The sequence below is a fragment of the Homo sapiens genome, chromosome 4 (genome assembly GCF_000001405.40).
Source record: "Homo sapiens chromosome 4, GRCh38.p14 Primary Assembly".
NCBI lineage: Eukaryota > Metazoa > Chordata > Mammalia > Primates > Hominidae > Homo > Homo sapiens.
Window position 1 is genome coordinate 95356755 of NC_000004.12, and position 15646 is coordinate 95372400.

The window sequence follows — 15646 nt, forward strand, 5'->3', positions numbered from 1 at the left end:
GCCATTCTCACTGGCTAACTGGCAGTTACAAAACTGTAGGGTGGGAAAACATGAGTGAGTATTGCTTGAGGTTATAGAGAAGTAATCTGTTGCATAAGTAAATATCTACAGTGAATTTTAGAGTTGGTAAAACTGTCTCGTTTTATATAAGAGGAAACTGGGCGCAACTGGTCTGAGTGACTTTTCTGAGATTGCACAGGTATTAAGGGGAAGACCTTCCAGGCCAGTATCAAAATTTCATGGCTCTGCTATGTATTTTCTGACTTTGTAAGGTCTGTGACAACATTTCCAACCCATTTCTAATTCATCTGAGGTTTATTTTCTCTTCTTAATTTTGAGCTACCCCTGTGGACTACTGATTTCTTGTTTTCCTTTTTTTTGTTTTTTTTTTTATTTAAAGACATGGTCTTACTCTGTGACATAGAAGGCTGTAGTGCAGTGGCACAATGATAGCTCACTGCAGCCTCCAACTCCTGGACTCAAGTGATTCTCCCACCTCAGCCTCCTGAGTAGCTGGGACAACAGGCATGTGCCACTGCACCCAGATAATTTTTTAAATTATATTTTTGTAGAGATGGGATCTTGCTATGCTGCCCAGGCTGGTCTCAAACTCGGCCTCAAGCCACCCTCCTCAGCCTCCCAAAGTGCTGGGATTACAGGCGTGCACCATTGCACCTGGCCTTGCATTTTTTTTATGCTGTTACATGTTCCTTATTAAAAAGCTATTATTAAAAAACTAAAATACTGTCCAGGCCTGTTGTCTCATGCCTGTAATCCCAGCACTTTGGGAGGCTGAGGCCAGAGGATCGCTTGAGCCCAGCAGTTCGAGGTCAGCCTGATCAACATAGCAAGACCTCTGTCTCTACAAAAAATTAAAAAAAGGAAGAAATAGCCAGGTTTGGTGGTGCATGCCTGTGGTCTCAGCTACTGGGAAGCCTGAGGTGAAGGGATCACTTGAGCCCAGGAGGTTGAGGCTGTAGTAAGCATGATCAAGCCACTGTACTCCATCCTGGGTGACAGAGCAGGGCCCTGTCTCAAAACAAAAACAAAAACAAAAATGACAACCACAAAAAACACTAATAGTAACATATGTTAGTAGCTAAAATTTTACAGTAAAGAATGAATGTGTGTGTGTGTGTGAATCACATACAGTGTTCAAAAACAGATAAATGGGATAATGCTATACATGTTCTGTGTCTTGACTACTGCTTTTTAAATAAATACTCTGCCTCACTTGATCCATCCCTTACAAACTTGGTGCTATCATAAACCAATTATGTGCCAACTGCTGACCTACTATGTTTAGTATAAGCTACCATCATACAATATTTACAAAAAAACAAGCAACAAAAAAAACACCACTGCACATTTATGGCTTTGGTAATGTTTACATGGTACCAAAATTTTGGCAGGTGTTTTACAACAAAAACAAAAAAGCATCACAATCCTTATTAATGCAGTTTCTACCTTTAGCTTAAAGTAGATCAATTCTAGATCCATGTGTGTCCTTTTTTAAAATCATAGTTTCCTTGTGGCATGTGATAGAATTCATTTTTTTGTGGCTTTGCAAGAAGAGTGTTAACTCTGTTGAGAGAAAATGTTCATTATAAACCACATTTATTTCATCCTTTTTGATGGAGCAAATGACATTCTTCCAAAATTTATTATTTTGAAGGATAATATACCCAATATACTGAAGAAGATGGTAAGGGTATGAGTCACCTCTAGCAATGAACAGTGCTGGTTAATATTTCACATTTTTACCTCTCCTGCCCTTAGAAATCACAATACTTGACACCAGGTCACAAAATTATTAAAACTTCAAGTGGCTACACTTCCTTCTCCACGTGAGTCCTCACTTCTCCTTAACATTTTACTCTGGCAATCCCTTCAGGCTTCTGGCCTTTTCTCCCTCCCTTTGACCCTCATAACTAATTAAATCTGGACAAGTCTTTGGTGAAAATAGTTTCCTTTAAAGTTATTCATTCAAAGTTCCCCTTAAGGCATTCTTTGTCACTTTAGCCCAGCCTGCAATCTTTACATGAAGTTGAAAGAAGTGAGCTATTTTTATAAGATAAAAAAATCTTGCAAGACCTAAATCTACTTTAGGGCCACAGATAAAGACTAGATTTTGAAATATGACAAATGTTTCCACAGCCATGAAACTGTTATTCTGTAGAAGTCTGCAGATAAATAAAAAGTTCCAAGGACTCTGGCTATGCTTAAAGGCAGTTAAAGTTTTAAGATTTCATGTTGTATTTGGAGGTAGTTATATTTGAGGTCTGTAATTAAATTCTACATCAAAAGTAAAAGATTAACCAACCAGTATAGTTGAAGTCATGCCCAATAAGTTTGTTTTGGAAATCATATTGGATTTAAGAATTAAGTAGCTAGTATCCATTTATCAGAAGACAAAAGTGAAGATTGAATGATATAAGAAATTAAGTCTGGGGCTATGCCATGGCTTAAGTATTTTCACTGTTGAGATAAAATAAAAACTTGCCAAGTTGCCAATTACTTTAGACCTACTTCTACATTGTACAAATAAACAGAAAATAATGTTTTATTTGTTTACAAATTTAAGAATCAGGCATGTAACTTCTTTTGTTGGCCAAAGGTGTTCAGCTCTAGGGCAAAAAAAATTGGATGAGATTTAACGACAAGCTTCAGCATCATTTGTTAAACTAGAGAAGTGTTTTCTCAGTTTAATAATTGCTACCTATACTGTTTCTAAAAAAAAAAAAGGTGAGAGAAGTTTTCTTTATGAAGCCATTTTTCTACATTATTTAATAATATTACCTTCTCATTTTTCAGCTACCCTCTGGGACGCAACTTTTTAAAGCTCCCTGTGTTTTTCCTAGATGAAAACTTGGGTTTTGAAACTTTGAGTGTGTCCCAAGACTATCCATCTGTTTAATAGAAGAGCTAGGAAAGGAATCTAGGTACCTCTGGCTTGGTAAGCCTGACTGCTGTAAACATGACACTGCCTCCCAAAATGTGAAAGCTTGGTTTTGAAAATAATTCTCTAACAGTATTATGGTTAGTAACAATATTGAAAAAAATATTTTAAAGAATAACAAATACTTAAGAAGCACTTACAATATGCCAGGTATCCTACTAAGGACTTGGATATTTTCCCTCATTTAATTCTCACAATAGCACCGTGGGTAATATCATTACTGCCATTCTGAAGATTAAAAAACAGGCACAGAGAAGTCCATTAACTTGCCCAATGTTTATAAAGCTAGTAAGTAGCAAACATTCCCTTTTTGCTTGACAAATACTCAATACATAGACTTAGAGAACCATCTGATGAATAATAAACTCTGTGGAGTTTCCCAAGGAGATACCAACATCTATTTATTAGTTATAGGTCTAAACGAGAAATATACAGATGTTACCTTTTCAACAATACGTTTATACATGCTATATATACTGGTCTCTTCAGAGATTACAATGACATGTTCTTATTATTCTTTCATTTGCATTACTTTCTAATTTATTTAACCAATATATTTATAAAAATGTTTTAAAAGTTATCTGTGAATTTAAAATTACTGGTAATCTGTAAGTTAAAGGAAAAAGACTTAGCAAATCATTGTCCACAATATGAAGAGGAGCAGTAAGACACGAATGGCACAGGATATGTATAACCAGTTGGAGAATTGTTAACTGCTCCACAGAGTAAGAGATTAGCACTGTTAAAAGTATTGTGAAATAAATAAACAAACAGAAAATTTGCAAAAAACATACAGGGAAAGGATTCCAAGTTAAGTAGTGCAATACAACTGTAATGTTTAGCCACCTTTCACTGTTCCTTATGAGCCAGAAATCTTAAATTGCATTTTATCCATTGATAGTGTGCTTCTTCAGAATATCTACAATACAAAACAATGATTATGAGCTAATGTAAGCTGAAACAGACGAGAGTGATTTGTGGAAAGATGGAAGCACCAAAGATCTAACTCTGGCCTCTTGTGTTTCAGGAGGTGGATTTCTTTGAACGGTATCCATTTCCTTTCTCCAAGGCCTCTGTTTTATTAAACCTCCAAAAAAGAAATTAGAATTGGCCATCTTTGGAAATATAAAGGAGGCAAATGATTTGTGAAAGAAAGTAATTACAAGGTTTTCTCATGTTAAGGAGGCATTTTAATAGAAACGTACTCATGTCTAGAAAATATAGGTCTGTGAGTATATGCGGTTATTTTTTAGGAAGGCATCCTTTCTGTCTTCCACTTCAGTAAACTCAGAAAGTAAAAACACGTTCTGTGACTGCAGCTAGTTCATTGACATTTCCAGCATATCATTTTCCCAAAGTTTGAGAGAGCAATGGATTGATTTCAGGGTTCACAGTGGGGCAGGATAAGACAGCACGGATCACATGTCTTTCGGAAACAATATAAATTCATAGAGCTATTTCAAGGTTTCATGAAGATGTGATAAAGTACTGGATTTGGTTACACATTTCCTCCTGCAGGGACTATTTTATCCACTCTTCTTAGATAAGTCAGGCTGATTTGTTGTTTTCATACTCTGTTTTTCTTCAAATCTACTTAAATAAGCAGGTTGATTTCAGGGCAGTCCCTTTAACTCTCTCTTCTTCTGCATGCGTTCAACTCAAGTTCTTGTGAAATCATTATCCTTTTCATACCTTCAAGATGAACTGCCACAAAAAGTGAATTAAAAAGCAAACAAAACTAAGTTAAAATAAAATGTGATCACCAAGGATGTGCTGCTCTGTGCAGATGTGGACATGGAATCATGCAGCATTTATGAAAGTGTCTCCTGTGAGTGTGGGCTGCAGATCGAATGTCTGTGACTCTCTAAAACACACAGTCCTTCAGGCCAAAGTGCCACTTCACTCTCACCAAAACTAGAACCACATCCAAATCAAAGCAAACAAAACAAACATTTCAGTAGTCAAGAGTGCAGAGAAATAAGACAGCCATTTGCATTGGATTGTTTTTTGTTGAAATCACTGCCAGTAATTCCGAAAAAGCTTCTACCTACTTGTATGATCTGTCAAAAAAATCAAACTGCCTTTTTTCACAGATTAGGAAATCAAGCTGAATCATACTGAACCAAAGGCTCAAAAAATAGTCTTATGATTCTAATGATCAATCAACCCATTCACTCCTTCTTGTTCTTCAGTGTTCTCAGAGCACCATGCTACGTGACGTATATATATAAAAAACAGATTATCTATTATCTATTATATATATATATATCTTACTTCTAATCACTTACAAACTGAAACAGCCCAACAATTAATGAAAGATAAGGTAAAAAACACACTGGACTCAGTGTCAGAAGACTTACATTGTCAAGTCACATGTCTTCTCTGAGCCCTAGTTTCAACACCTGTTAAATGAGGAATGATGTCAGGAAAACATCTTGTTTTTCCTTTTTCTATCATCTATTTCTTCTTGTTTTGAAAAAGAAACCTCTTCCACCCTCTTAGGCCACGTGGTTCGGTTTCCCACTCGCTTCCCCTCCTGCCCATCGGAGCGTTCCAATCCTCTGACCACAATTATTGGTTCAGGATGAGCACATGACCCAAGGCAGTGTAATTACAATGAAATCTGGGATTTTGCTGTGATGGGGAGAAAATGATTGCTGAAAGACTGGCTGTTAGTATGACGCTGTTCATGGCCATCTTGATGTGGGATGGAAACAGCGAGGTTGCATGGAGCAACACAAAGAAAGGCACAGCTGAGAGATGGAGCAAGAATGTGGTCAGGTCATCATTTAGAGCAATGGATTTGACTGTGATGGAGCCAGATGGGTCTAATTCTGGGATTTTCTGTTACATGAACCAATAAATGTGTTTTTTATCTTTTTGACTTAAACCTGCTTGATTTGGGCTTCTTTCACTTGCACCCGCAGGATTCCTCACTGTTATATCATGTGACAACTGAGCTGACATACCAATATGAATGGTATTTTTGGAAAGTTCTTACTTGTTAAAACACAAAAGCTAAAATCCTTGGCTTTGAAAAATATATTTGCACTTTTATTTCATTCATTGAATAACTTTAAATGAAAACCCCTTCTCTATGCCATAGGCACTCTAGGGCCTGGGAATATGAAGATCAAGAAAATGAAACAAGTTATAAAGGAGTTTATAGGCAAGTGGAAATACAAATGTGTTAAATAATAATAGGATACCATGGAAAAGGTAAAAAGTGTAGACTACAAAATGCAGGGATATCATATTACACAGCTCTAGGGGGCGCCGTTCATATTGTAGTTTATGTAAACATCACCCCCTGGAGTTACACACACTCAGAAACCCTAGCTACACCTCTGCCAGCTGGTGGACTGGGCCATGGACACACTTGCACCAGCAAGTGTTTTCAATCACCATAACGGTTCTTCTTGGCTGTTTCATTTTTTAATGAGCTGATTATTGCTCACTATATCTGAGTTTTTAGGGGGAGTCTCTGGCAGACAGCTGCACCACCGGCTTACCATTACACAAACCAGACACAAATCTCACTGATCTCACTTGGCTGTGCTATCATTTGTTAGTGATCATTTGGCAGAGGCACCACTAAATCAAGAGTCTGCAAACAAAATGTCGCATCCCAGGATTACAGAGGTCTTCGGGCAGTGGGAGATTCATTGAACATCAGATTAAGTTTTTGGCAAAACAAGTGGAGATTTTATGACTCAGAGATCGTTTACAACAGCATACTTTCACATTGTTGCCTCAGTGATAATACTTCATTTTAAGTGGCAAAATCAAACTATAAGTAAATTAGTAGCCAAATTAAAGCAACAGCTGTGTGTTTTGATAGTGATTAATTGCACTCTATAAAAGAGGCTTTGCTTGTCTCTTGTCAGTCACAAAAGAGAGTGAAAGAATGTTCTTTGATATAATGCCCCTTCTGAAACAGTGCCAAGTTAGTTCATTGTTTAGCTACAAAACAAAAAAGAAACAAAAACAAAAAACCTCTGAGAGTTTCATGCAGATGCCGCTTTTCACTGGTGAAATAACAGCTACAGTACCCCTTGACACCTTGGAGAGCCACCCTGAGGCCTCACTCCAGGAGTCAAATTTAGACCTAATCACCTCTTTCCTTGCACAGCAAGGTAGCATCAGCCCTAGGCTTGGGGCAATTGGCCTACCATACGTAGATGCTGAATCTCACACTTCTGGGGGAAGCAATTGAAAACCTCATTTGAACTATACTGGGCAAAGTGTTTGGATAAAGTGTGGGGGTGACATATTGATATACTTTTACATCTGTGTTTACCAACATATTAAGATGTGCCACTTGACTGCATGTTCAAAATGACCCATCTCAATGACTCCTGGTCCCACTTTCTGCTGCCACTCTCAACCATGCCGTGAAACTTTCTGGAGCACTTCCTGGACTGCATTTCAAAAATACCAAAGGTCTGAAGGCTGACAGGTTTGACTGTAGCTGAGCTGGCAAAATACAACACTGCTTTCCTGGCACAGAACATGTGACTCCACCAACAACTGCACAAGCTACATCATTGTGTCTGGAGATACTGAAAAGGAAACCTCTTTTTGATACACCAAAATGCTGCTAAAATGTTGATGTTAGGAGGTGTGGATGCTTTCAAGAACTATATCCCATTATTGATATGGGGACAATTTGACACAGCATTCAATATTTGGTGGAGGTAGTTTCAAGTAAATCTGTAAAGCATTTCACTTTATCTTCAAAATGACTGATATTTTATCCTATTGACACTATGATTGCTTTTGCAGCTTTGATTTAGCTGCTAAGTCTTAGAACCAAATGTGTGGCACCCTGTAAAATGTATATGTAATTTTACCTGCTGGTTTTACGGAGAAGGCAGGGGAGCTCAGTGACCCAGAGCCCAGGCTCAAAGGCCGGGTGACAGATTTCAAATGAGTGCCTTTTTAACTCTGTGACTTGGAATATGTACCTTAATTTCTTTTTCATCCTAAGATATTTCTAAGGTTATTGTGAGGATTACATGAGTAAGTACATCAAAAGTGTCTACAGCAGTGCTTAGTATTGATGCCACACTGAACAACCACTTCATCGTCATCAAATCATTATCATCATTGCCTTATTTTTCTGCCCTACTAACTTTCTCAAGGATTTATCTTATTCATTGCAGTTTATGTATTTTTGTAAGCACTGTCAAATTCTTTATCAAGAAAGGACACCATAAGCAAAACAAAACAATGTAACTAATATAGATATATTTATATTTAAGTATATATTTATTTACATGTAAAAAATAAATATTTAGGTCGGGTGCAGTGGCTCACACCTGTAATCCCAGCACTTTGGGAGTCCGAGAAAGGCGGATCACCTGAGGTCAAGAGTTCGAGACTACCCTGGCCAACATGGTGAAACCCTGTCTCTACTAAAAATACAAGAAATTAACTGGGCATGGTGGCATGTCCATGTAGTCCCAGCTACTCAGGAGGCTGAGGCAAGAGAATCTCTTGAACCTGGGAGGTGGAGGTTGCAGTGAGCTGAGATTGTGCCACTGCACTCCAGCCTGGGCAACAGAACAAGAATCTGTCTCAAAAAAAAAAAAAAAAGAAAAGAAATAAAGAAAATACAATACAACATAATACAATAAAAAATTATATAACATTTAAAAATATATAATACAAAAATTTAATATAATATATATTTTATTTTCTATATTTTTCATATAAATAATGTAAAAATATAACAATATATAATGTAAAAGATAAATATATATTTTCAAAATTAAAATATATCACTAAAAGTACTACTCCATTTTGCTATTACAATAATACCCTTACTGAAAATTTTATAATTCTGTTTAAATATTATATTTCATAATGTTATTTCTAATGGCTCAAACCTATTTTAAAATATTCTTTTCAATGCTCAAATGTGTCAAAGTGCCAATTGATCTTTATCTTTTCAAATGCAGATCAATTTCTAACATACATAGAGTTAAAATGAGACATGTTCTAAATATCAATGCACATGAAAAATCACTGAGAATAAACAACATTAAAGTAAGTACAATAGCAAGACCCAGTTGTCTGGGATGACTGATGATTTCTAGAGATCTGAGCTCAGGCACTCATCTACCAGGTGTTATTTTCCTTTTTATCTAGGGTTTAGCTGCTATGTAAAAAGTGATGTGATTTTTTCCCCCAGGATTTCTCTGCTCTAAAGAATTTTCTGAGAAGTTTTTTTTTTTTAAATCAAAATTATAAGCTGTAATATGCTATGTTTTCTTCCATTTGAAGAGAAATTAAATTTGGTTCAGTGGAATATCCTACAGCAAAGTACTGCCAACCCACTATCTGGTCCTGTCACAAAGGGCCTGGAGTTACCTACTTTTCAAAAGAGAAAGGTACAATTTTATGATGTTTTAGGAAGTGAAGTCGAGGTAAGCATTATTTTGTATTAATAAAATACATGTGATGGGCTGAGTGCACTGGTGTGCACCTGTAGTCCCAGCTACTCAGGAGTCTGAGGTGGGAGAATCACTTTAGCCCAGCAGTTCAAGACAAGCCTGGGCAATGTAGTGAGACCTCCATCTCAAAAATAAAATAAAGTAAATAAAATAAAATATGTGATCCTGAAAACACTGATCAACTTACAAATTATATTTCATCCAAGATTTACTGTAAGAGATGAGTCACTGTATTCTTTTATCCTAAACTTCTTGAGGAACTCTAACTGCCTGGAGCATCCAACAATAATGAAGGCAACACAATTAAAATCCCAATCTCTTTCCTGGATGGCTCTATGTTTTGAGAAATTGCTTCACATTCCAAAATCTTCTATTTGAATAAAACAATCAAATACTAACCTAGTCATGAAGTTGATTGTAAAATGTAACAAGAAGCAATTATTGGTAGGACCTTTGTCAACATAAAATTGCTAGTTGCAAACCTAAGTGCAAAATGATTTTCAAAGGCTATAGCTCCAGATGACAACCCTAAGAGGTCTTCTGATTAAGTCCAGTCAAACCTAACTTTGGTTTTGTTTCTTTTTTAATTGTTAAGCGAATTTTTGTCACATTAAAACAGCAGAGCTAAACATTGAGGCTGTTATTTCAAAAGAAAAATAACTTTTCTTTGTGAGGCAATTTATACCAAAACTTTTCTGTTTTTGCCCAAGTATAATTTGCAATGCCATCAGGCTTGCTGGCAGCAGAGGGATATTGTAAGCCATCACAGGAATTTAGGAAGTTACATTTATAATAATGTCTTGCATTTGACTAGTCATTTGAAGTTCAGCAAAACCCTTCACAAACCTGTATCATTTCATCTTCACTAAGACCCTGTCAATTAGGTAGGGCAGAGTTTATTAATCCCCATTTAACATATTATATAAAGGCTCAAAAAACTTAACATATCCCCAAATCATACCACTGCTCACTGGTACGTCAGACCTAGAATTTGAGTCTTCTTACTTCTCCCATTCTTTTTTTTTTTTTTTTCAAAGAAAAATCCAGGAGTGCAGTGGCAAATCATGGCTCACTGCAGCCTCCACTTTCTGGGCTCAAGTGATTCTCCCACCTTAGCCTCACAAGTAGTTGGGATTATGGGCGTACACCACCATGCCCAGCTAATTTTTTTGTATTTTATGTTTTTCCTTAGAGACTGGGTTTCGCCATGTTGCCCAGGCTGGTTTCAAACTCCTGGTCTCAAGTGATCCTCCCACCTTGGCCTCCCAAAGTGCTGGGATTACAGGCGTGAGCCACCGTACTGGCCTTTTCCTGTCCTTCTTAACACTATGCTTTGTTGCCACTTTATTTGAATGTAGATGTTAAATATTTTAAATATTCTATATATTAAATATTTTATACTTACCCTCTAAAAATGTGATCACCTCTTCTCTAAAATCTTATTGGTAACTCCTAGACAACTGGACTATAAGAATATTAATTATGTTACCTTGATGATAATCAAACTTTGAACATACTATTTATCCTAATAATATTAACTTATCTTTCTTTACTCTGATGTTTAAACTTTTCACATAGGCTAATTTCAGTGACTCTGTAAATTTTAGTTGTTTCAAGGAGATCAATTATATTACCTACCATACTTAGCCCATTGTAGGTGCTTAAGAAATTCTTTTTGAATTGATCAGCTTCTATCTAAGAACATTATAGATCATGTTAGCAATGAAATACAAATAAGACATGTGGAAAATTATTTTACATTATCTTCCCTAGAAATGGCTGACAAATTCATTCTGATGAAAGACAGATATGGTGCAGTGAATAGATGCTTTCACAGATGCATTAGAGGTCATGAAAGTAACCCAGACACAGTCTAAATCAGTCTCTGGTGTGCTGACAGCCTGTTAGCATAGCGTATGAATACCCCTTTCATGATTTAAAAACATTTTGACGTCTAAAATAACACTGTCTAGCTATCTGTGATGTATGAAATTATATCATAAATGAGTAGTTCAATTCAATACTGAGATATTTAGAAAAGCAAATTCAATAAGCTAATAAGTCTATGTGCTTTTCCTGTCTATAGAAACTAAGTAAAATAACATGTTTTTATAACATCTTTTTTGAAAAAAAAAAAAACCAATCAATTTCAAAATGCTTTACAAATTATAGGCTTACTACTACATTTCACATCCCATTATGGCATTGGTAAGAATTATCAATTCATTTAAAAATGTAAATAAATGAAAAAAGAAAAACAAATAATTCTAGAAACAAAAAAAGGCAAAATTATTTCAAAGAGCAATAAATTGAAAGGTAGGCTGTCTCTGATGACAGCTAATGTATATTTATGATGCACTTCATTAAACCCTGTGACTTTTTCAAGAGGCCACCTGTAAGCCAGTTATGACTTACAGGTTTTAGGAATGCATTATATTCTTGGCCATTACTCTCCAAATCAAGTGTTTGAGATGTTCTCAAAGTCCAGGTGAGACCTAAACCAGCACTGTCCATTGCAAATATAATGCAAATCGCATATGTAATTTAAAATTTTCAAGTCATCACTTTAAAAAAGTAAAAAGTAACAAGGGAATTTTAATGATATATTTTATTTAACCCAAAATGTCCAAAATATTGTTATTGCAAAATATATTCAACATTAAATTTTATTGAGGATATATTTTACATTTTTTTCCTTGTACCAAGTTTATAAAATCCTGTGTGTGTGTGTATGTGTGTGTGTGTGTCTGTGTGTCTGTGTTTTGAGACAAAGTCTTGCTCTGCCACCCAGGCTGGAGTGCAGTGGCACAATTACAGCTCACTGCATCCTCGACATCCACTATATCTAGCTAAATTTTGAATTTGTTTGTAGAGATGGAGTCTCACTATGTTGATCAAACTGGTCCTTAACTCCTGGCCTCAAGGGATCCTCCCACCTCGGCCTCCCAAAGTGCTGGGATTACAGGCATGAGCCACTGCGACCAGCCCAGTGTGTATTTTTATGTATACTTTCTGCAATCTCAATTTGGTGCTAAATTTTTACCAGAAATACTTGACTTTAATTCGGTTTTCATAAAATTTATAGTTCAAAAAGTAAGGCCAGGTGTGGTGGCTCACACCTGTAATGCCAGCCCTTTGGGAGGCTGAGGTGGGCAGATCACTTGAGGTCAGGAGTTTGAGACCAGCCTGGGAAACATAATGAAACCCCAACTCTACAAAAAAATATAAAAATTAGCTGGGTGTGGTGGTGCATGCCTGTAGTCCCAGCTACTTGGGAGGCTGAGGTGGGAGGATGGCTTGAGCCCAGGAGGCAGAGATTGCAGTGAGCCGAGATTGCTTGCGCCACTGCACTCCAAGCTGAACGACAAAGTGAGATCGCATCTCCAAAAAAAGGAGATTAACCTATCCAAATATTCCAAGTGTACTAAAAAGTTTCTTAATAACTGCATCCAGTAGCAGTTTTCAATTTAAATTAACAAAAACTTAATAAAATTAAAAATTTCTCAGTCACATTAGCAATACCATTGATACCGTTATCAATGGTCCAATGTAACTGGGGCCGCTATATTGGATAGCACAGATAGAAATAAAATTAAGCAACAAAGAAAGTTTCGACTACAGCGGTAGGTAAAATATGAATAAATAGGAAGGACGGCATTGCAGAGGAAGAAAACGAGTTGAAATGACAAGTATGGATAAAACTGCTTTTTGTAGCCCCCCCTTTTTTTTTTCAAAACTGTTTCCAAAATTATTCTATCATATTGTGTTCCCAGAATAACTTTACCATCTGTTTATTCACTGTCCACAAGAATACACAGGATATAGTTTTAGAGGTAGAAAAAAACTAATGAGCATACATTTCAAATTCTTTTAAAGAATGAGAAAGGCTTGGTCTAGAGCTGCGCTCTCCAACACATTAGCCAGTAGCCATATGTGGCTATTGAGCCTTGAAAGATGGCTTATCCAAACTGAGATGTGGCTTAAATGTAAATATGATTAAATTTCAAAGACTCAGGCCATAAAAGAAGGTAATATATCTCATTAATAATATTTTATTATGGAATACATGTTAAATGATATTTTAGATATATTGGGCTATATAATTATATTACTAAGATTAATTTCATTTGTTTTTTTAATGCAGCTACTAGAAAATTTTAAATTTCATATGTGGTCATATTATATTTATATTATATAGCATCATCTAGAGAGAAAGTTTACTTTTGCTTATGTCACAGCATTGCCTGTACATGCGATTTCTGATATTCACCAATATGCTAGCAGGAAAAATGCTAGCAGGAAAAGGCTGCATATTCCTGGCCACAGTTGGGCCTTAGGACCTGGTTTCCTGTCACTGGCTTTTGCAAGCAAAATTGGGTACACTCATGAAAAGTAGAGCCTACATGAAAAGAAAGGTTTATTTGTACTCATTTTCAGCTAATTGTTGTTTTGTTTTGTTAACCTTCTTTTGCTCACTTATATTTGGCAGCTTGATTTGTGTTTTTCATTCTTCTGAAGTTGCAAAAGCAGCAAACTGCACCACCCATTGTGGGTGACTCCATGTAATTACCGCGTACAGGTTTATACTTTATCACAGTAAGACAACAGCATCATAAGAAAAGCACTACATGATTTCCAATGATTATATGAATAAAATAATCACTGGGTTGTACAAAAGAGTATGTCATTCAAAAGAATACGTAGTTCAAAGTGGTCATTCGTTTTTCTAATAAGTAAGCGGTCTGTAGAGGGAAAGCTATAGGTTTAAGCTTGTCTTGACGTTGTTTATCTAGTGATCACAATACATAGCAGGGTCCTGGGGCCATTAGGAAGTTTTTAGGTTTATTTATCTATTCATATTTAGTACATTATTTAAGAAAAGAGTAATGCCAATTACTTAGAAATTAGAAACTTCTAGTTGTTTATTGATAAAGTTACTTTAAACATTGTTTAGTCCAAAAAACATGGATTGAAAGCCTGTCTGTTTTCAGTAACACTTCAGTGAGGCAGCCTTCCCCTAGCTGTGATAGTCTCCTCAGTGTAATGCTGTTTCATAACGTTTCTCCATAGGTTATATCTTGACAGAAAAACGGACATGAAATAAAAAGAAACATAAAAGATGAGAAAAATCCATACTGCTTTTTAAAATGTTGCAAACCCCACTGTACATAAGGCAGACCTGTCACTGTTCTTCAACATTTGCTGAACCTACAGCTATGATAAGAAAGAAATAAAAACACAGTATATTTTGTGGGGGGGGGGGAGTATCAAATGTGATTGAGGTTAGAGTTGGAAAAGATGAAAACTGATAGGAAGATGCAGCATAATCTGATGGTTTAGAGGCAAGTCCTGCATCTACATACATTGCCTGAGTTCACTATTTAGTACCTGTGTGAATTTGGATGAGTTACTTAACCTCTCTGTGTCTTGTTTTTTTCACTTGAGAAACAGGGATAACTGAATCGCCAGCTTCAAAGTATTGTTATGTAAATTAAATAAGTTAACATGTGCAAAGCACTGGAAACACCAGGGCTACGTAAGTGTTTGTTCAATAAATAGTTTTTCACAGCTCAAAACCTCACAGTAGCATAAAGGACACTTGAGAAGCTGGAAATCAAATGGGTATTTAACTCAAATTTTCACCCAATAAAACATCTGTTCTCTTCCAAATCATGACATTAAAATGCAATAACCCTTACTAACTTTGGCAATTTATTTATAAAAACCATGTTCTGCATTTCTTAGTATAGATTTTCAAGCTATGTGTCTTTCTGATTTCTACATTGTAATGCAGCCAGCCCCAGAGCCAGGACAATTGCACTGTTTCCTATCAATTGCCTCTTCAGTGCAATGCCTCCTGAAACCATTTCCTGAAACATGTAACAATCCTATCACATAATTGTGTAAAACCCTAGACACCCATGCCTGTTGTTTAATGCTAATTTCCTTGAGCTTCCTAAGAGGAATTGCTATTGACTACTTTCATTAGGAAACTATTGACCCTTCTCCAGTGGAGCATCCTGAGAAGAAATTCACTAAATATGCCCGTATTTCATCTTTTGAATATCAAGGTGCAGTAGGCATGCTGCAGGATATGGCTTATTTAATCCAAAATTAAAATTTTATAGGCTACATTACCTAAAGTAAATTGCTTAATACATTTAGAAGAACAGCTGCTTTCTAAGTGTTTGGCATCCATGTATTTGAGACCTAAATTAGGCAAACCCAC

General features: G+C 36.1%; 1 protein-coding gene across 4 annotated transcripts in view; it reads right to left on the minus strand.

Annotated features, from left to right (window-relative positions):
* The window catches only part of UNC5C (unc-5 netrin receptor C), a 386470-nt gene that overhangs the window by 194251 nt on the left and 176573 nt on the right, over positions 1–15646 (minus strand). The window contains exons 1-2 of one of the 4 annotated variants that reach the window (XM_047416346.1): positions 3100–8203; positions 1468–1584 (exon numbers count right to left, since the gene is read on the minus strand). The exons of 2 other annotated variants lie outside the window; for them this stretch is intronic. The gene's annotated coding sequence lies outside the window, so the exon portion shown is untranslated. Of the gene's footprint in view, positions 1–1467; positions 8204–15646 lie in introns of those variants that run through there. One more of the 4 variants, XM_047416345.1, reaches the window with a different exon arrangement.